General features: G+C 38.9%; 1 protein-coding gene across 20 annotated transcripts in view; it reads left to right on the top strand.

Annotated features, from left to right (window-relative positions):
• LMNTD1 (lamin tail domain containing 1) overlaps positions 1-20,570 on the top strand; it is a 172,497-nt gene that overhangs the window by 38,334 nt on the left and 113,593 nt on the right. For 13 of the 20 annotated variants that reach the window (XR_931277.2, XR_931276.2, XM_011520575.2 and 10 more), the window contains exon 1: positions 17,310-17,750. The exons of the other annotated variants lie outside the window; for them this stretch is intronic. The gene's annotated coding sequence lies outside the window, so the exon portion shown is untranslated. Of the gene's footprint in view, positions 1-17,309; positions 17,751-20,570 lie in introns of those variants that run through there. 20 annotated transcript variants of the gene reach the window in all.

Genomic DNA, 20,570 nt, shown 5'->3' with positions numbered 1-20,570 from the left:
TGACAGACTGTACTGGGAAAATTGGGACTCTGCCACCTAGACACTGCACTTTTCCAACAGTCTTAGCAAATGGCACACCAGGAAATTAAATCCCATGCATGGCTCAGCAGGTCCCATGCCCACAGAGCCTTGCTCACTGCTAGTCCAAGATAGAACTGCAAGGTGGCAAGCCTGGCTGGGGAAGGGGCGTCCGCCATTGCTGAGGCTTGAGTAGGTAAACAAAGTAGCCAGAAAGCTTGAACTCGGTGGGGCCCACTGCAGCTCAACTAGGCCCACCTGCCTTTGTAAACTCCACCTCTGGGGGCTGGGCATAGCTGAAAAAAAGGCAACAGAAACTTCTGCAGACTTAAACATCCCTGTCTGACAGCTCTGAAGAGAGCAGTGGTTCTCCCAGCATGGTGTTTGAGCTCTAAGAACAGACAGACTGCTTCTTCAAGTTGGTCCCTGACCCCCGTGTAGCCTAACTTGGAGACACCTCCCAGTAGGGGCTGACTGACACCTCATATAGCCAGGTGCCCCTCTGAGACGAAGCTTCCAGAGGAAGGATCAGGCAGCAATATTTTCTGTTCTACAATATTTGCTATTCTGCAGCCTCCGCTGGTGATACCCAGGCAAACAGGGTCTGGAGTGGAGCTTCAGCAAACCCCAACAGACCTGCAGCTGAGGGACCTGACTGTTAGAAGGAAAACTAACAAACAGGAAGGAATAGCATCAACATCAACAAAAAGGACATCCACACCAAAACCTCATCTGTAGGTCACCAACATCAAAGACCAAAGGTAGATAAAACCACAAAGAAGAGGAGAAACCAGAGCAGAAAAGCTGAAAATTCTAAAAACCAGAGCACCTCTTCTCTAAAGGATTGCAGCTCCTCACGAGCAATGGAACAAAGCTGGACGGAGAATGACTTTGACAAGTTGACAGAAGTAGGCTTCAGAAGGTCAGTATTAACAAACTTCTCCTAGCTAAAGGAGGATGTTCGAACCCATCGCAAAGAAGCTAAAAACCTTGAAAAAAGATTGGATGAATGGCTAACTAGAATAAACAGTATAGAGAAGCACTTAAATGACCTGATGGAGCTGAAAACCACGGCACGAGAACTATGCGATGCATGCACAAGCTTCAGTAGCCGATTCAATCAAGTGGAAGAAAGGGTATCAGTGATTGAAGATCAAATGAATAAAATGAAATGAGAATAGAAGTTTAGAGAAAAAATACTAAAAAGAAATGAACAAAGCCTCCAAGAAATATGGGACTATGTGAAAAGACCAAATCTACGTTTGATTGGTGTACCTGAAAGTGACATGGAGAATGGAACCAAGCTGGAAAACACTCTTCAGGATATCATCCAGGAGAACTTCCCCAACCAAACAAGGCAGGGCAACATTCAAATTCAGGAAATACAGAGAATGCCACAAACATACTCCTCAAGAAGAGCAACCCCAAGACACATAATTGTTAGATTCACCAAGGTTGAAATGAAGGAAAAAATGCTAAGGGCAGCCAGAGAAAGGTCGGGTTTCTTTCCCATCAGCCTAACAGCAGATCTCTCAGCAGAACCCCTACAAGCCACAAGAGAGTGGGGGCCAATATTCAACATTCTTAAAGAAAATAATTTTCAACCCAGAATTTCATATCCAGCCAAACTAAGCTTCATAAGTGAAGGAGAAATGAAATCCTTTACAGACAAGCAAATGCGGAGAGATTTTGTCACCACCAGGCCTGCCTTACAAGAGCTCCTGAAGGGAGCACTAAACATGGAAAAGAACAACCAGTACCAGTCACTGCAAAAACATGCCAAATTGTAAAGACCATCGATGCTAGGAAGAAGCTGCATAAAGTAACCGGCAAAATAACCAGCTAACATCATAATGACAGGTTCACATTCACAGATCACAATATTAACCTTAAATGTAAATGGGCTAAATGCCCCAATTAAAAGACACAGACTGGCAAATTGGATTAAGAGTCAAGATCCATCAGTGTGCTATATTCAGGAGACCCATCTCACGTGCAGAGACACACATAGGCTCAAAATAAAGGGATGGAGGAAGATCTACCAAGCAAATGGAAAGCAAAAAACCAGGGGTTGCAATCCTAGTCTCTGACAAAACAGACTTTAAACCAACAAAGATCAAAAGAGACAAAGAAGGCCATTACATAATGGTAAAGGGATCAATTCAACAAGAAGAGCTAACTATCCTAAATATATATGCACCCAATACAGGAGCACCCAGATTCATAAAGCAAGTCCTGAGAGACCTACAAAGAGACTTAGACTCCCACACAATAATAATGGGAGACTTTAACACCTCACTGACAATATTAGACAGATCAACAAGACAGAAAGTTAACAAGGATATCCAGGACCTGAACTCAGCTCTGCACCAAGTGGACCTAATAGACATCTACAGAACTCTCCACCCCCAATCAACAGAATATACATTCTTCTCAGCACCAAATCACACTTTTTCCAAAATTGACCACATAGTTGGAAGTAAAGCACTCTTCAGCCAATGTAAAAGAACAGAAATCACAATAAACTGTCTCTCAGACCACAGTGCAATCAAATTAGAATTCAGGATTAAGAAACTCACTCAAAACCGCTCAACTACATGGAAACTGAACAATCTGCTCCTGAATGACTACTGGGTACATAAAGAAATGAAGGCAGAAATAAAGATGTTCTTTGAAACCAATGAGAACAAGGACACAATGAACCAGAATCTCTGGAACACATTTAAAGCAGTGTGTAGAGGGAAATTTATAGCACTAAAAGCCCACAAGAGAAAGCAGGAAAGATCTAAAATTGACACCCTAACATCACAATTAAAAGAACTAGAGAAGCAAGAGCAAACAAATTCAAAAGCTAGCAGAAGACAGGAAATAACTAAGATCAGAGCAGAACTGAAGGAGATAGAGACACAAAAAAACCCTTCAAAAAATCAATGAATCCAGGAGCTGGTTTTTTGAAAAGATCAACAAAGTTGATAGACTGCTAGCAAGACTAATAAAGAAGAAAAGAGAGAAGAATCAAACAGATGCAATAAAAAACGATAAAGAGGATATCGCCACCAATCCCACATAAATACAAACTACCATCAGAGAATACTATAAACACCTCTACGCAAATAAACTAGAAAATCTAGAAGAAATGGATAAATTCCTGGAAACATACACCCTCCCAAGACTAAACCAGCAAGAAGTGGAATCTCTGAATAGACCAATAACAGGCTCCGAAATTGAGGCAATAATTAATAGCCTACCAACCAAAAAAAGTCCAGGACCAGACAGATTCACAGCCGAATTCTACCAGAGGTACAAAGAGGAGCTGATACCGTTCCTTCTGAAACTATTCCAATCAATAGGAAAAGAAGGAATCCTCCCTAACTCATTTTATGAGGCCAGCATCATCCTGATACCAAAGCCTGGCAGAGACACAACAAAAAAAGAGAATTTTAGACCAATACCCTTGATGAACATTGATGCAAAAATCCTCAATAAAATACTGGCAAACCAAATCCAGCAGCACATGAAAAAGCTTATCCACCATGATCAAGTGGGCTTCATTCCTGGGATGCAAGGCTGGTTCAACATATGCAAATCAATAAACGTAATCCAGCATATAAACAGAACCAAAGACAAAAACCACATGATTATCTCAATAGATGCAGAAAAGGCCTGTGACAAAATTCAACAACCCTTCATGCTAAAAACTCTCAATAAATTAGGTATTGATGGGATGTATCTCAAAATAATAAGTGCTATCTATGACAAACCCACAGCCAATATCATACTGAATGGACAAAAACTGGAAGCATTCCCTTTGAAAACTGGCACAAGACAGGGATGCCCTCTCTCACCACTCCTATTCAACAGTGTTGGAAGTTCTGGCCAGGGCAATCAGGCAGGAGAAGGAAATAAAGGGCATTCAATTAGGAAAAGAGCAAGTCAAATTGTCCCTGTTTGCAGATGACATGATTGTATATCTAGAAAACCCCATCGTCTCAGCCCAAAATCTCCTTAAGCTGATAAGCAACTTCAGCAAAGTCTCAGGATACAAAATCAATGTGAAAAAATCAGAAGCATTCTTATACACCAATAACAGACAAACAGAGAGCCAAATCATGAATGAACTCCCATTCACAACTGCTTCAAAGAGAATAAAATACCTAGGAATCCAACTTACAAGGGATGTGAAGGACCTCTTGAAGGAGAACTACAAACCACTGCTCAATGAAATAAAAGAGGATACAAACAAATGGAAGAACATTCCATGCTCATGGATAGAAGAATCAATATTGTGAAAATGGCCATACTGCCCAAGGTAATTTATAGATTCAATGCCATCCCCATCAAGCTACCAATGACTTTCTTCATAGAATTGGAAAAAACTACTTTAAAGTTCATATGGAACCAAAAAAGAGCCCACATTTGCCTAAGCCAAAAGAACAAAGCTGGAGGCATCACACTACCTGACTTCAAACTATACTACAAGGCTATAGTAACCAAAACAGAATGGTACTGGTACCAAAACAGAGATATAGACCAATGGAACAGAACAGAGCTCTCAGAAATAATGCCACATATCTACAACTATCTGATCTTTGACAAACCTGACACAAACAAGCAATGGGGAAAGGATTCCCTATTTAATAAATGGTGCTGGGAAAACTGGCTGGCCATATGTAGAAAGCTGAAACTGGATCCCTTCCTTACACCTTATACAAAAATTAATTCAAGATAGATTAAAGACTTACATGTTAGACCTAAAACCATAAAAACCCTAGAAGAAAACCTAGGCAATACCATTCAGGACATAGGCATGGGCAAGGACTTCATGTTTAAAACACCGAAAGCAATGGCAACAAAAGCCAAAATTGACAAATGGGATCTAATTAAACTAGAGCTTCTGCACAGCAAAAGAAACCAACATCAGAGTGAACAGGCAACCTACAACATGGGAGAAAATTTTTGCAACCTACTCATCTGACAAAGGGCTAATATCCAGAATCTACAATGAACTCAAACAAATTTACAAGAAAAAAACAACCCCATCAAAAAGTGGGTGAAGGATATGAACAGACACTTCTCAAAAGAAGACATTTATGCAGCCAAAAAACACATGAAAAAATGCTCATCATCACTGGCCATCAGAGAAATGCAAATCAAAACCACAATGAGATACCATCTCACACCAGTTAGAATGGCAATCATTAAGAAGTCAGGAAACAACAGGTGCTGGAGAGGATGTGGAGAAATAGGAACACTTTTACACTGTTGGTGGGACTGTAAACTAGTTCAACCATTGTGGAAGTCAGTGTGGTGATTCCTCAGGGATCTGGAACTAGAAATACCATTTGACCCAGTCATCCCATTACTGGGTATATACGCAAAGGATTATAAATCATACCTCTATAAAGACACATGCACACATATGTTTATTGCAGCGCTGTTCACAATAGCAAAGACTTGGAACCAACCCAATGTCTACCAATGATAGTCTGGATTAAGAAAATATGGCACATATACACCATGGGATACTATGCAGCCATAAAAAATGATGAGTTCATGTCCTTTATGGGGACATGGATGAAGCTGGAAACCATCATTCTCAGCAAACTATCGCAAGGACAAAAAACCAAACACTGCATGTTCTCACTCATAGGTGGGAATTGAACAATGAGAACACATGGACACAGGAAGGGGAACATCACACACCGGGGACTGTTGTGGGGTGGGGGGAGTGGGGAGGGATAGCATTAGGAGATATACCTAATGCTAAATGACGAGTTAATGGGTGCAGCACACCAACATGGCACATGTATACATATGTAACAAACCTGCACGTTGTGCACATGTGCCCTAAAACTTAAAGTATAATGATAATAAAATTTTAAAAATAAATAAATAAAGAACCATGATTTTTAAAATGTTTAAAGCTGACTTCAATACTTGAGTAATTGTCCTTTGGAAAAGGACTTCTTTTGTCCCATGTGGCCATAAGTGGTAGAATTTAAACAAAGAAGTGAAAGCTGTAAGAAAAAGGATTTTAAGTCAATATAATGTAAAAAATAGAACTAAACAAAGTTGGGGCAGGTACTCTTAAGAGGAAGCAGATTCTCTGCCACTAGAGGTGACCATTTAAACTAGATGGCTTTGTGGGAATGTGATAGGGTTGATTCATAAATATGACTCTTTTAATCATGCAGTTCTTTTTGTTTGTTTGCTTGTTTGTTTGCATAGCTCTTTATTAGCCTGACATGTAAGACTGATCCACTTGTCAGCCTTCCCCCCCAATATTCGTATGTGTCTCTGGTATTTCTTATATCTACAATTTCCCTGACTTGCAGTTTCCCCTTTTAAAATGTCATGCCATTTTTCGGTGATCAAATCGTATGTCACTTTTTGAGAAAAATTTCCCTTCTCCCCACTTCAGATACCACCACAAATAGACAGGTTCTATTCCAAAACTGCAGACTTCATTTATGCATTTTAAGTCACTTATTATTCTGCCCTATGCTATTTGTGTATATTTATTGTCTTACATACTAGCATGTCAGCTTCGTGAGGACAGGAATCGTCTCTGTATTGTTAATCCCCTATAAGACCTAGTATAATAGAATTTCTTTATTTTTTCAACAAATATTTCTTTTTCTTTAGGATGAAAAGACTGTACTTACCTCTTAGGGGCCTTCCAACTTAAAAAAGGTGTATTAATCTGGTTCTAGAACTTATTTCCTAATTAATAATACAAGGACCTCTTTACTGACTATGTGTACAAACAGTCAGATATACCAATGTCAAATTGGTTCTGTAAGAAAGTGTTTATAATCTGACTTCAAAAGGCAGATAACTCCCATGCTGATCAGTAGTAGGATTGCACCTGTGAATAATGACTGTGCTCCGGCCTGGGCAACACAGTGAGATCCCATCTTTTAAAAAAGGTAGATAACTATTTTTCAAACATTTTGCAATATTCCTATTGAGATATTCAACACACATGTTCCTGATAGAATTTTGAATATTAAAGGAATTGTACATCTGGTTATATTCTTATGAAATTAACTGACACTAAATCAAGTGCTCCACAAAGTAAAAGATAATATAATTAAGAACATCATCAATGAGGTAAGCAATGAATCCTGGCAAGACTTAAGAGGGGGAACACCTTATTGTGATGTGTCAGAATTTTTTACCACTCACCTCTACCATTTCTTCCTGAACTTTATAGTCTTACAGAACATTTCCATTGCTGCAGGTTTCTGTTTGGCAAATTGCTGGCAATACTCCAGATGTTTTTCAGTGTGAATTTATAGAAACGTGCATTGTACAAAATTCAAAGGAAGGACTGTTAGAATAGGTTAGATAAAACAAGAAAACCAGAGCAACTAACATTGAAAAATAAGCCTGAATTCTTCGTTTGTTTCAGCTGATTTTTTTTTCCCTCTCCTCTTCCCATCTGCCTTTAGTTCTCTATTGACTGAAATTAGCAGGGACTAAAAGTCATATCACAAGTTGACATGCTTAACTGTAGCCTCCAGAAAAATCCAAATGTATTGGAGTCTAAAGGCAGTTGTATCAGATCAGGAGTAAGAGTTTTACTCTTGCTATTTCTTGGGAAGTAAACTTCTGGATCTTTTGACTGTCAGCAATTAAAAGCCCTTTAGAAAAATTCCCAGAGAAAGCTCTTTCATGTGGGTCTGAGGCAGTTGTGGACTTGCCAAGAAAAGGTAGTCCTATGACTTCCTGACCATGTCAGCACCTGGGGAATTAACAAAAAATCAATTATTTCCCTCTAGGCACATTTTGGGCTTTCTGCTACTTTGCCCTTTTCTCAAATGTCCCTTCCTTCTCCACCTAAACAGAAGAAAGTCAATACAATGTGGGTCAAGAACAGTCAGCAGGAAGGTTGAGGTTTTTTTTCTTTCTTTCTTTCTTTTTTCTTTGGATGCATGCCCCCTAAAGAAAGAAAAGAAAGAAAATAAAAATTTAGGATTAACAAGTGGCAACCAGAGTTATGCTGCCTAATTACAGGTCTGATTTCATGCTTTTCTGAGAGATTTATGAAGAGGCTAAAAGATACTAAATTATGGCCCAGTCAGTACCCCTTCTTTCTGGTATCATTAATTAATTAAGACAAATTTCTAAATATAAAAGAAGCATGGATAGATATAGTCAAATTTTCTGACATTATTACCTAAAACATGGTTTCTAACATTATAAAGTAGGCATTAATACTTTGGTAAAAAAGTTATAATTAACAATAATTTATTGTACATTTCAAATAGCTAGAAGGAAATATTTTTAATATTTCCAACACAAAGAAATGATAAATGTTTAAGGTGATGGATTTACCAACTACCCTGATGTAATCATTACACATACAGGTATCAAAATACCAAATGTACCCCCAAAATATGTACAACTATTGTATATTGATTAAAAAGTAAATAAATTAATAAATAAGTCAAAGAAAAGGATTAACTTATTTTGCAGCAATTGTGAAGCATAAGGTGATGGTTAGGTATTGATTTTCTTTCTTTATAAACTTGTATCTTGTGTTCCAAAAGCATTAGCTTTGTTTTAGAATGGAATCTTCTCTGGGATTAAAAAAAATTTTTATTTTAATTTTTGTGGGTACATAGTAGGTAGGTACATATATTTGTGGGGTACATGAGATGATTTGATACAGGCATGCAATGCTTCATAATCACGTCATGTAAAATGGGGTATCCATCCCCTCAAGCATTTATCCTCTGAGTTACAAATAATCCAAATATACTCTTTAAATTATTTTAAAATGTATAATGAAATTATTATTGACTATAGTCACCCCATTGTGCCTTCAAATACTAGGTCTTATTCATTCTTTCTAACTATTTTTTTGTTCACCCATTAACCATCTCTACCTCTCCCAACCTCCACCATCCCACTACCCTTCCCAGCCTCTGGTAACTGTCCTTCTACTCTCTAACTTCCTGAGATCAACTGTTTTGATTTTTAGATCTCACAAATAAGTGAGAACATGCAATATTTGTCTTTCTATGCTTGGCTTATTTCACTTAGCATAACGATCTCCAGTTCCATCCATGTTGTTGCAAATGACAGGATTTCATTCCTTTTATGGCTGAGTAGTACTCCACTATGTATAGTACCACATTTTCTTTGTCCATTCATCTGTTGGTGGATACTTAGGTTGCTTCCAAGTTTTGGCTATTGTGAACAGTGCTCCAACATACATGGGGGTGCAGATATCTCCTTGATATACTGATTTCCTTTCTTTTGGGCTTATACTCAGCAGTGGGATTGCTAGGTCATATGGTAGGTCTATTTTTGTTTTCTTGAGGAATCTCCAAACTGTTGTCCATAGTGGCTGTACTAATCTACATTCCCACCAAAAGTGTACCAGGGTTTCCTTTTCTCCACAACCTCACCAGCATTTCTTATTGCCTGTCTTTTGGATAAAAGCCATTTTAACTGAGATGAAATGGTATCTCATTGTAGTTTTGATTTTCATTCCTCTGATGAGCAATGATGTTGAGCACCTTTTCATATGCCTGTTTGCCATTTGTATGTCTTCTTTTGAGAAATGTCTATTCAAATCTTTTGCCCATTTTTGATCAGATTATTAGATTTTTTCCTATAGAGTTGTTTGAGCTCCTTATATATTCTGGTTATTCATCTCTTGTCAGATGGGTAGTTTGCAAATATTATCTCCCATTCTGTGAGCTGTCTCTTCACTTTGTTGATTGTTTCCTTTACTGTGCAGAAGCTTTTTAACTTGATTTGATCCTCTTTGTCCATTTCTGCTTTTGTTGGCTGTGCTTCTGGGATATTACTCAAGAAATTTTTGCCCAGACCAATGTCCTGGAGAATTTCCTCAACGTTTTCTTGTAGTACTTTCACATTTTGAGATTATAGATTTAAGTCCGTAATTCATTTTGATTGTGGTTTTGTATGTGGTGAGAGATAGGGATATAGTTTCATTCTTCTGCATAGGAATATCCAGTTTTCCCAGCACAATTTATTGAAGAGACTGTCTTTTCCCCAGTGTATGTTCTTGGCACCTTTTTCAAAAATGAGTTCGCTGTAGGTGTGTGGATTTGTTTTTCAGCTCTCTATCCTATTTCATTCATCTATGTGTCTGTTTTTATGCCAGTACCATGCTGTTTTGGTTACTATAGCTCTGTAGTATAATTTGAAGTCAGGTAACATGATTCCTCCAGTTTTGTTCTTTTTACTTTGCATAATTTTGGTATTCAGGGTCTTTTGTGGTTCCATATAAATTTTAGGATTGTTTTTTCTATTTCTGTGTAGAATGTCATTGGTATTTTGACAGGGATTACACTGAATCAGTAAATGGCTTTGGGTAGTATGGACATTTTAACTATATTTATTCTCCCAATCCATGAACATGGAATATGTTTTCACTTTTTGGTGTCCACTTCTATTTCTTTCGTCAGCGTTTCATAGTTTTTATTTATTATAGCACTCTCACTTCTTTGGTTAATGTCTAGGTATTTAATCTTGATTTCTGGCTATTATAAATGGGATTATTTTTAAATTTCATTTTCGGATTGTTCACTGTTGGCATATGAAAATGTTACTGATTTTTGTATATTAATTTTGTATCCTACAACTTTATTGAATTTGTTTAGCAGTTCTAATAGTTTTTTGGTAGAGTCTTTAGGTTTTTCCAAATTTAAGATTATATCATCTGCAAACCAGGATAATTTGACTTCTTCCTTTCAAATTTGGATACCCTTCATTTCTTTCTCTTATCTGATTGCTCTAGTTAGGACTTCCAGTACTATGTTAAATAACAGTGGTGAAATGCTTGTCGTGTTCCAGATCTTAGAGGAAGGGCTTTTTGATTTTCCCCATTCAGAATGATAGCAGCTGTGGGTCTGTCATATTTGGCTTTTATTACGTTTAGGTATGTCCCTTCTGTACTCAGCTTTTTTAGGGTTTTTTTCATGAAGGGATGTTGAATTTTATGAAATTTTTCTTGAGCATCATTGAAATGATCATTTTTTTCCTTCATTCTGTTGATATGATGTATCACATTGATTGATATATAAATATTGAACCATCCTTGTATCCTAGGGATAAATCCCACTTGGTTATGATGAATGATCTTTTAAATGTATTGTTGAAGTTTGTTTGCTGGCATTTTGTTGAGGACTTTCGCATAAATATTCATCAGAGATATTGGCCTGTAGTTTTCAATAATACTGGCCTCGTAGAATAAGTTTGGAAGTTTTCCCTCCTCCATTTTTCAGAATAGTTTGAATAGGATTGGTCTTAGTTCTTCTTTAAATTTTTGATAGAATTCGTCAATGAAGCCATTGTGTTCTGGGCTTTTCTTTACTGGGAGACATTTTTTTTATGGCTTCAATTTTGTTACTTGTTATTGGTCTGTTCAGGTTTTGGATTTCTTTCTGGTTCAATCCTGGAAGGTTACATGTGTCCAGTAACGTGTCCATTTCTTCTACATATTTCAATTTATTGGCATATAGTTGCTCATAGTAGTTACTCATGATTTTTTTTTTATTTCTGCAGTATCAATTGTAATGTCTCCTTTTTCATCTCTGACTTAATTTATTTGGATCTTCTCTTTTTTTCTTAGTCTGGTTAAAAGCGTGTCAATTTTGTTTAACTTTTCAAGAAAACAACTTTTTGTTTTATTGATCTTCTGTATTGTTTTCATTTCAATTTTATTTGTTTCTGCTCTGATCTTTATTATTTCTTTTCTTGTACTAATTTTGGGTTTGGTTTGCTCTTACTTTTCTAGTTCTTTAAGATGCATCATTGGACTAGTTATTTGAAATTTTTCTTCTTTTTTTGATGTAGGCATTTATAGCTAAAAAGGTCCCTCTTAGTACTGCTTTTGCTATATTCCATAGGTTTTGGTATATGTGTTTCCATTATTTGTTTCAAGAAATTTTTCAATTTTCTTTTTAATTTCTTTATTGACCCACTGGTCATTCAGGAGCATATTGTTTAATTTATATGTTGTATTATTCTGTTCTCATGCTGCTAACAAAGACATACCCAACACTGGGTAATTTATAAAGGAAAGATGTTTCATGGCCTCACATTTCCATATGGCTGGGGAGGCCTCACAATCATAGCAGAAGACGAAGGAATGGCAATGGGTTGTCTTACATGGTGGCAGGCAAGAGAGCATGTGCAGGGGAACTCCCTTTATAAAAACATCAGATCTCATGAGACTTATTCACTATGACAAGAACAGCATGGGAAAAACCCACCTCCATGATTCAATTACTTCCCACTGAGCTCCTCCCACAACAAGTGGGGATTATTACAATTCAAGGTGAGACTTGGGTGGGGACACACAGCCAAACCATATCACATGTATTTGTATAATTTCCAAAATTTCTCTTATTAATGTATAGTTTTATTCCATTGTGATCAGAGAAGATGCTGGACATTGTTTCAATTTTTTTGAAAGTTTTAAGATTTGTCTTGTGACTTAACATATGATTTATCCGTGAGAATGATCCATGTGCTGAAGAAAATAATGTGTATTCTGCAGCCATTGGGTGAAAAGTTCTGTAAATATTTATTAGATCCTTTTGGCCTATAGTGTATATCAAGTCTGATGTTTCTTTGTTGATTTCATGTCTGGAAGGTCTGTCCAGTGTTGAAAGTGGGGTGAAATCTCCAGCTATTATTGTATTGGAGTCTATCTCTCTCTTTAATAATATTTGCTTTGTATATCTGGGTGCTTCAGTTTTGAGTGAATATATATTTTAAATTGTTATAACCACTTGCTGAATTGACAGCTTTATCATTATATAGTGACCTTCTTTGTCTCTTCTTATAGATTTTGTCTTGCAATCTATTTTTTCTGATATAAATATAGCTCTGCCTGCTCTTCTCTTGGTTTCCATTGGCATGGAATGTCTTTTACCATCCCTTCATTTTTAGTCTATGTGTGTTTTTATACATGAAGTGTGTTTCAGCCACTCTATGTCTTTCGATTGGAGAGTTTAGTCCATTTACATTCAATATTATTATTTATAACTAAGAACTGACTTCTGCATTTTATGTGGGGTTTTTTTGTGGTCTTTTTGTTCTTTTCTGTCTTCCTTTTAGTGAAGATTATTTTCTCTGGTGATATGATTTAGTTTCTTGCTTTTTATTTTTCGTGTATCCATTATCTGTTTTTTGTTTTGAGAGTATCATGAGGCCTGCAAATACTATCTTATAACCTATTATTTTAAGCTGATAACAACTTAACGCTGTTGAATAAACAACCTAACAAGCAAAAAGAAAACTAATAGACTCTGTGCCTTAACTATGTCCCCAATTTTTCCACATTTTGTTGTTTCTATTTACATTTATTGTACTATGTCTTGAAAAGTTGTAGTTATTATTTTGAATTGGTTCGTCCTTTAGTCCTTCTATGTAAGAGTAGCTTAAACACCACTGTTACGGTGTTATAATGTTCTGTGTTTTTCTGTATATTTGCTATTACCAATGAGTTTTTTTATCTTCAGATGATTTCTTTTTGATCATCAAAATCCTTTTTCTTTCTATTGAAGTACTCCCTTTAGCATTTCTTGTAGGACAGATCTGGTGTTGAAATCCCTCAGCCTTTGATTGTCTGGAACAGTGTTTATTTCTCCTTCATGTTTGAAGATTATTTTTGCTGGATATGCTATTCTACTGTAAACGTGGCATAAAGGAATGCTGGCTTTTGTTGAATGCTTTTACTGGGTCTATTGAGATGATCATGTAATTTTTGTTTTTAATTCTGTTTATGTGGTGTATCATATTTATTGATTTGCAAATGTTAAATCATCCCTGTATCCCTGGTATGAAACCCCTCTTGATCATGGTGGATTATCTTTTTGATATGTTGTTGGATTTGGTTAGCTAGTATTCTGTTAAGGATTTTAGCACCTATATTCATCAGAGATATTGACCTGTAGTTTTCTTTTTTGGTTATATCCTTTCCTGGTTCTGTTATTAGGGTGATACTGCTTCATAGAATGATTTAGGGAGGATTCCCTCTTTTTCTATCTTCTGGAATAGTGTCAACAGGATTGGTACCAATTCTTCTTTGAGTGCTGTGAATCCATCTGGTCCAGGATCTTTTTTTGTGGGTAATTTTTAAATTACCATTTCAATCTTACTGCTTGTTATTGGTCTGTTCAGGGTATCTAATTCTTCCAGATTGAAGCTAGGAGGGTTTTATATGTCCAGGAAATTATCCATCTCCCCTAGGTTTTCTAGGTTTATGCATGTAAAGATATTCATAGTAGCCTTGAATGATCTTTTGTATTTCTGTGGTGTCATTTATAATATCTCCCATTTCCTCTCTAATTGAGCTTATTTGGATTTTCTCTCTTCTTTTCTTGGTTAATCTTGCTAATGATCTATCAATTTTTGTTTTTCTTTTCAAAAAACCAGCTTTTTGTTTCATTTATCTTTTGTAATTTTTTGTTGCTGTTGCTGTTTCACTTTCATTTAGTTCTGCTGTGATGTTGGTTATTTCCTTTCTTCTGCTAGGTTTGGGTTTGGCTTGTTCTTGTTTCTCTAGTTCCTTGAGGTGTGACCTTAGATTGTCTGTTTGTGCTCTTTCAGACCTTTGATGTAGGCATTTAAGGCTATGAACTTTCCTCCTAGCACTGCCTTTGCTGTATCCCAGAGATTTTGATAGGTTGTATCACAATTGTCATTCAGTTCAAAGAATTTTTTAATTTCCATCTTTATTTCATTTTTGACCCAATGATCATTAAGGAACAGATTATTTAATTTCCATGTGTTTGCATGGTTTTGAAGGTTCCATTTGGAGTTGATTTCCAGTTGTATTCCACTGTGGTCTGAGAGAGTGCTTGATATAATTTTAATTTTCTTAAATTTGTTGAGGCTCATTTTGTGGCCTATTATATAGTCTATCTTGGAGAAAGTTTCATGTGCTGTTGAATAGAATGTATATTCTGTGGTTGTTGGGTAAAATATTCTCTATACATCTGTTAAGTTCATTTGTTTCAGGGTATAGTTTAAATCAATTGTTTCTTTGTTGACTTTCTGTTTTGATGTCTAGTGCTGTCAGTGGAGTATTGAAGTCCCCCACTATTATTGTGTTGCCATCTATCTCATTTCTTAGGTCTCTTAGTAATTGTTTTATAAGTTTGGGAGCTCCAGTTTTAGATGCATATATATATTTAGGATTGTGATATTTTCCTGTTGGACAAGGCCTTTTATCATTATATAATGTCCCTATTTATCTTTTTTAACTGCTGTTGCTTTAAAGTTTGTTTTGTCTGATATAAGAATAGTACACCTGCTGGCTTTTGGTGTCTATTTGCATGGAATGTCTTTTTCTACCTTTTTACCTTGAGTTTATGTGCATCCTTATGTGTTAGGTGAGTCTCTTGAAGGCAGCAGATAGTTGTTTGGTGAATTTTTATCCATTCTGCAATTCTGAGTCTTTTAAGTGGAGCGTTTAGGCCATTTACATTCAAAGTTAGTATTGAGATGTGAGGTGCCATTCCATTCACCATGCTATTTGTTGCCTGTATGCCTTGGGTTTTTTTTTTTTTTTTTTTTTTTTTGTATTTCTGTTTTATAGGTCCTGTGAGATTTATGCTTTAAAGATGTGCTGTTTGGATGTGTTCCCAGGATTTGTTTCAAGATTTAGAGATTTTTTTAAGTCAGTTCTTGTAGTTTCAGCTTGGTAGTGGCGAATTCTGTCAACATTTGGTTGTCTGAAAAAGACTATGTTTCCTTCATATAAGATCCTTACTTACACTGGATACAAAATTCTTGGCTGATAATTGTTTTGTTTGAGGAGGCTGAAGATAGGGCCCCAATCCCTTCTAGCTCATAGGGTTTCTGCTGAGAAATCTACTGTTAATTGGATGGGTTGTCCTTTATAGGATACCTGGTGGTTTTGCCTCACAGCTCTTAAGATTCTTTCCTTTATCTTAACTTTAGATAACCTGATGACAATGTGCCTAGGCAATTATCTTTTTGCAATGATTTTCCCAGGTGTTCTTTGAGCTTCTTGTATTTGGATGTCTAGGTCCTAGCAAGGCTGGGGAAATTTTCCTTGATTATTCCCCAAGTATGTTTTCCAAACTTTTAGATTTCTCTTCTTCCTCAGAAACACCAATTATTGTTAGGTTTGGTCGTTTAATCCCAGACTTCTTGGAGGCTTTGTTCATATTTTCTTATTCTTTTTTCTTTGTCTTTGTTAGATTGGGTTAATTCAAAGACCTTGTCTTCGAGCTCTGAAGTTCTTTCTTTGGCTTGTTCAATGATATTTCAGAGACTTGCCACAGCATTTTGCGTTTCTATAAGTGTGTCCATTGTTTCCTGAAGTTTTGAATGTTTTTTGTTTATGCTATTTATTTAATCAAATATTTCTCCCTTCACTTCTTGTATCTTTCTTTTTTTTTTTTTTAATTTCCTTAGATTGGGCTTTGACTTTCTCTGGTGCCTCCCTGATTAACTTAATAATTAACCTTCTGAATTCTTTTCCAGGTAAATCAGGGATTTCTTCTTGGTTTGGACCCATTGCTGGTGAGCTAGAGTAATTTTTAGGTGGTGTTAAAGAACCTCATTTTGTCGTATTACCAGAGTTGGTTTTCTGGTTCCTTCTCATTTGGGTAGGCTGTGTCTTTGGGAAGGCCTAGGGCTCAAGGCTGTTCAGATTTTTTTGTCCCATGGGATGGTCCCTTAATATAGTACTCTCCCCTTTTCTTAGGGATATGGCTTCCTGAGAGCTGATCTGTAGTGACTGTTATCTCTCTTCTGGATCTAGCCACCCAGCAAATCTACAAGGCTCCAGGCTGGTACTGGGGGTTGTCTGCAGAGAGTCCTGTGATGTAAACCATCTGTGGATCTCTCAGCCATGGATGCCAGCACCTGTTCTGGTGGAGGTGGCAGGGGAGGAAAATGTGCTCTGTAAGGGTCCTTGGCTTTGGTTGCTTAATGCACTATTTTTGTGATGGTTGGCCTCTTGCCAGGATTGGAGCTTTCAGTAGAGCATTAGCTATGGTAGTATGGTGGTGAGTGGGGCCCTAGAACTCCCAGGAGTATATGTCCTTTGTCTTCAGTTACCAGGGTGGGTAGGGAAGGACCATTAGGTGGGGGCAGGGTGAGGCATGTCTGAGCTCAGACTCTTCTTGGGCGGGTCTTACTGCAGCTGCTGTGGGGGGTGGGGGGTGAGATTCTCCGGTTAATGGAGTTGTGTTCCTAGGCGGATTATGACTGCCTTTACTATGTCATGCAGGTTGTCATGGAAGTGGGGAAAAGCTGGCAGTCACAGGCCTCACTAAGCTCCCACACAACCCAAAGGGCTGGTTTCACTCCCACTGTGGCCCACCCCCTACAACAGCACCAAGTCTGTTTTCAGGCAGTGGGCGAACAGGGCTGAGAACTTGCCCCAGGCTACCCACTTACCAGCTGCAAAACCAAGTAGGACGTTTGTTCTTCCCAGGCCTGTGGAGTCTGCACACTGAATTCATATCTTTCTCCAAGTCCTGGCCAGGAGACTTCTCAATCAGTTCAAACTGTTACAAAGTTCAGCTAGAGGTTTCCTGCTCCCTGTGGCCTTTTTCCAGTGCCTCTGACTGCCCCCCGCCCCAAGGACCCTGTGAGGCAGGGCAGAAATGGCTTGCCAGGGGACCCAGTGAGTCCACAGGGCTTTTCCCGCTGCTTCCTCTACCCTGTATTTTGTTTGGCTCTCTAAATTGATTCAACTCCAGGTAAGGTCAGAATTTTCTGCCATAATCTAGACCTTCAGGTTCCCTAGTGGGGGTGTTCCAGGGCAAATGATCTCCCTTTCCCACTTCCAAAGTTTGGGCACTCACAGTATTTGGGGTGTCTCCTGACTCCTGCAGGAGCAATCTGCTTCCTTCAGAGGGTCTGTGGGTTCTCTTGGCTTTCCTAATGTATGCCTGCAGTCATTCTGGAGCAATAGTTCACGATGCAAGCCTCCACGTGCTGCTCTGTCCATTCAACTGGGAGCTGCAATCTAGTTCTGCCTCCTGTCCACCATGATCCTCTCCTTCTGATACCATGTTTTTCTGCATGATGTTGATCCTTGTAGATATTCTTCAGTGTCTGGGCACTCAAGACTTAGGTGTTCCTTGGAATCCTCTCACTCTGGGCTTGTTTGTACCTGTCCTTCTTGGGAAGGCTTTCTAGATATTCAAGAGAACTTAGGCGTTATAATTTAAGTTGTATCTGCTTTAGAAGGCACCACAAACCCAATAACTCTGTGGTTCTTGCAGACTCATAGAGGTACTACTTTAATGGCCTTGGACAAGATCTGGAAGAATTATCTGGGTTACCAGGCAGATTATTGTTCTCTTCCCTCACTTTCTCCCAAATAAATAGAGTCTCTCTCTCTCTCTCTCTCTCTCTCTCTCTCTCTCTCTCTCTCTCTGTTCTGAGCTATTAGGAGCTGGAGGTTGTGTGACAGAAGCACCCCTGTGGCCACCACCACTACAAGTGTGCTGGGTCAGACCTGAAGCCAGTACACAGCTGAGTCTTGCCTAAGGCTTGCTGTTACCACTCCCTGGCTATGCCCTATGTTTGCTAAAGGCCCCAGAGCTTTATAAAAGCAGGTGGTAAGGCCAGCCAGGCCTGTGTCCTTCCCTTCAGGGTGACAAGTTCCCCCAGGCCCTGGGCATGTCCAGGGGTGCCGTCCAGGAGCCAGGGACTAGAATCAAAAATCTTAGAAGTCTATCCAGTGTTTTGTTATATTGTTCTGCAGCTGAGATGGCACTCAAACCACAAGACACAGTCCTTCCCCCTCTTCCATCCCCTTTCCAAAGGCAGAGGAGCCTCACCCTGTGGCCACCACCACCACAGGCCCACATGGAGTACTGCTGCTAAAGCCCAAGGGCTCTTCAGCCACCTTGTGGTGAATGCTGCCTGCCAGTGCAGTGCTAGTGGTGGTAGCCACAGGGGTACTTGTGTTATACCACTCCCAGGTGGCTCAGAACAGAGTGAGAGACTCCATTCATTTGGGAAAAGTAAGGGAAGAAAACAAGGATCTTTGCCTGGTAACCCACTCTGGCCTAGGGCAGGTCCAGAAATGCCATCCAAGAGCCATGTCCTGAAATCTGGGACCCCAAGAGCCTGCTTTGTGCTGTACCCTGCTGTGGCCAAGCTAGTACCTAAGGTACAAGACAAAGTCTCCTTTGCTTTTCCCTTCACTTTTCTCAAGTAAAGGAGTCTCACTCTGTAGCCAATGCAGCATGTGCTAAGCCTTAACTGTAGCCAGCCAGTGTTAGAGTCTTACTCAAGGCCCTCAACATAGTACCTGGGTATTGCTGCTGGTTATTCAGGACCCAAGGGCTCTTCAGTTAGCAAATGATGAATTTTTCCAGGATTAGGTCCCTCCCTTCAATACAGCAGATTCCCTTCTCGTCCAGGGTCCTCCCTTTCCTGGAGCTAAGTCCTGGAAAGGGGGCCTCACAACTCTTACTGGTGCTCTATCCTGTTGTGGGCTGAGCTGCCTATCACAGCTCTATCCTGCTGTGGCTGACGTTCAAGATGCCAGACAAAGTCCTCCATACTCTTCCCTCTCCTCTCCTCAAGCTGAGGCAAGGGGTCTGTTTTTAAGCCACAAGCTATGCAGCCTGGGGCTAAGGAAGGGTTGATGCTAGCACCCCCTTAGACACCTCGCTGGTTTCTCAGTAGGTCACATGACCCCCTAGTCCACTGGCTCTGGGACCAGTCCAGCACTAGGACTCACCTAGGAGTTGCAGTCCTTGTGGCCTAGACTGTCTTTCAAGTTTATTAAGGGCCCCAGAGCACTTTAGCCTGCAGTGGCAAGGCTTTGGGAAACTCAAGTTCGGACTGCTGAGATGGGAAATTCCTCTCTGGCTAGGCTACTTTAATTGCTCTCTCCATGGTGGGCATCAATAGAGATGGTCCTTTTTTTTCTGTTATAATAAGGCAGCAGTGAGTTCAGTGCCTCACAATTGCTGTGATCTCCTTCTCCCACGCACACTGAAACACTCTCCTCACCACACTGCTGCTGCCAGGAAGTGGGGGACGGTTGGTGTCAGTGACTAAAGACTGTTTATCCTACCTTTTCAGTGGCTCTTTTGGCAATATGAAGTTAGAACCAAGTATTGTGTGTACTCAGCTGATTTTTGGTTCTTATAGAGGTGCTTCTTTTGTGTATAGCATGTAGATAGTTGTTAAACTGGTGTCTTTGTAGGGGGCATGATTGGTGGAAACTTCTCTTCCACTGTCTTGCTCTGCCCCTTCTCTGGGTTTGTAATTCCCACAAATGTGCCAACTCCCTGTACCTAGTAAACTGGGTGAGACAGGTGGTGGCTACTTCAAGCTCAGCCTTGGTGGATAATTCTTTTTCTGCGAATGCAGATACTCACAGAGTAACTGGTTCTAAGAGATCTACACAATGAATAATTAAGTTTTACCATCTACACTCTCTTCAGCCTAGTTTATAGACAAGAAAGCATTTTTATAGTTATTCTGTGGAGAATATTTGTGCCATGAAGATTTTAAATCTCATCATCCCTTCCTGGAAATTTGGCTGGTCTGGA

This window comes from Homo sapiens, chromosome 12 (genome assembly GCF_000001405.40).
Source record: "Homo sapiens chromosome 12, GRCh38.p14 Primary Assembly".
Taxonomy (NCBI): Eukaryota; Metazoa; Chordata; class Mammalia; order Primates; family Hominidae; genus Homo; species Homo sapiens.
The sequence above is the reverse complement of the archived record's forward strand: the minus strand, read 5'-3'. Positions and strand labels throughout refer to the sequence as shown.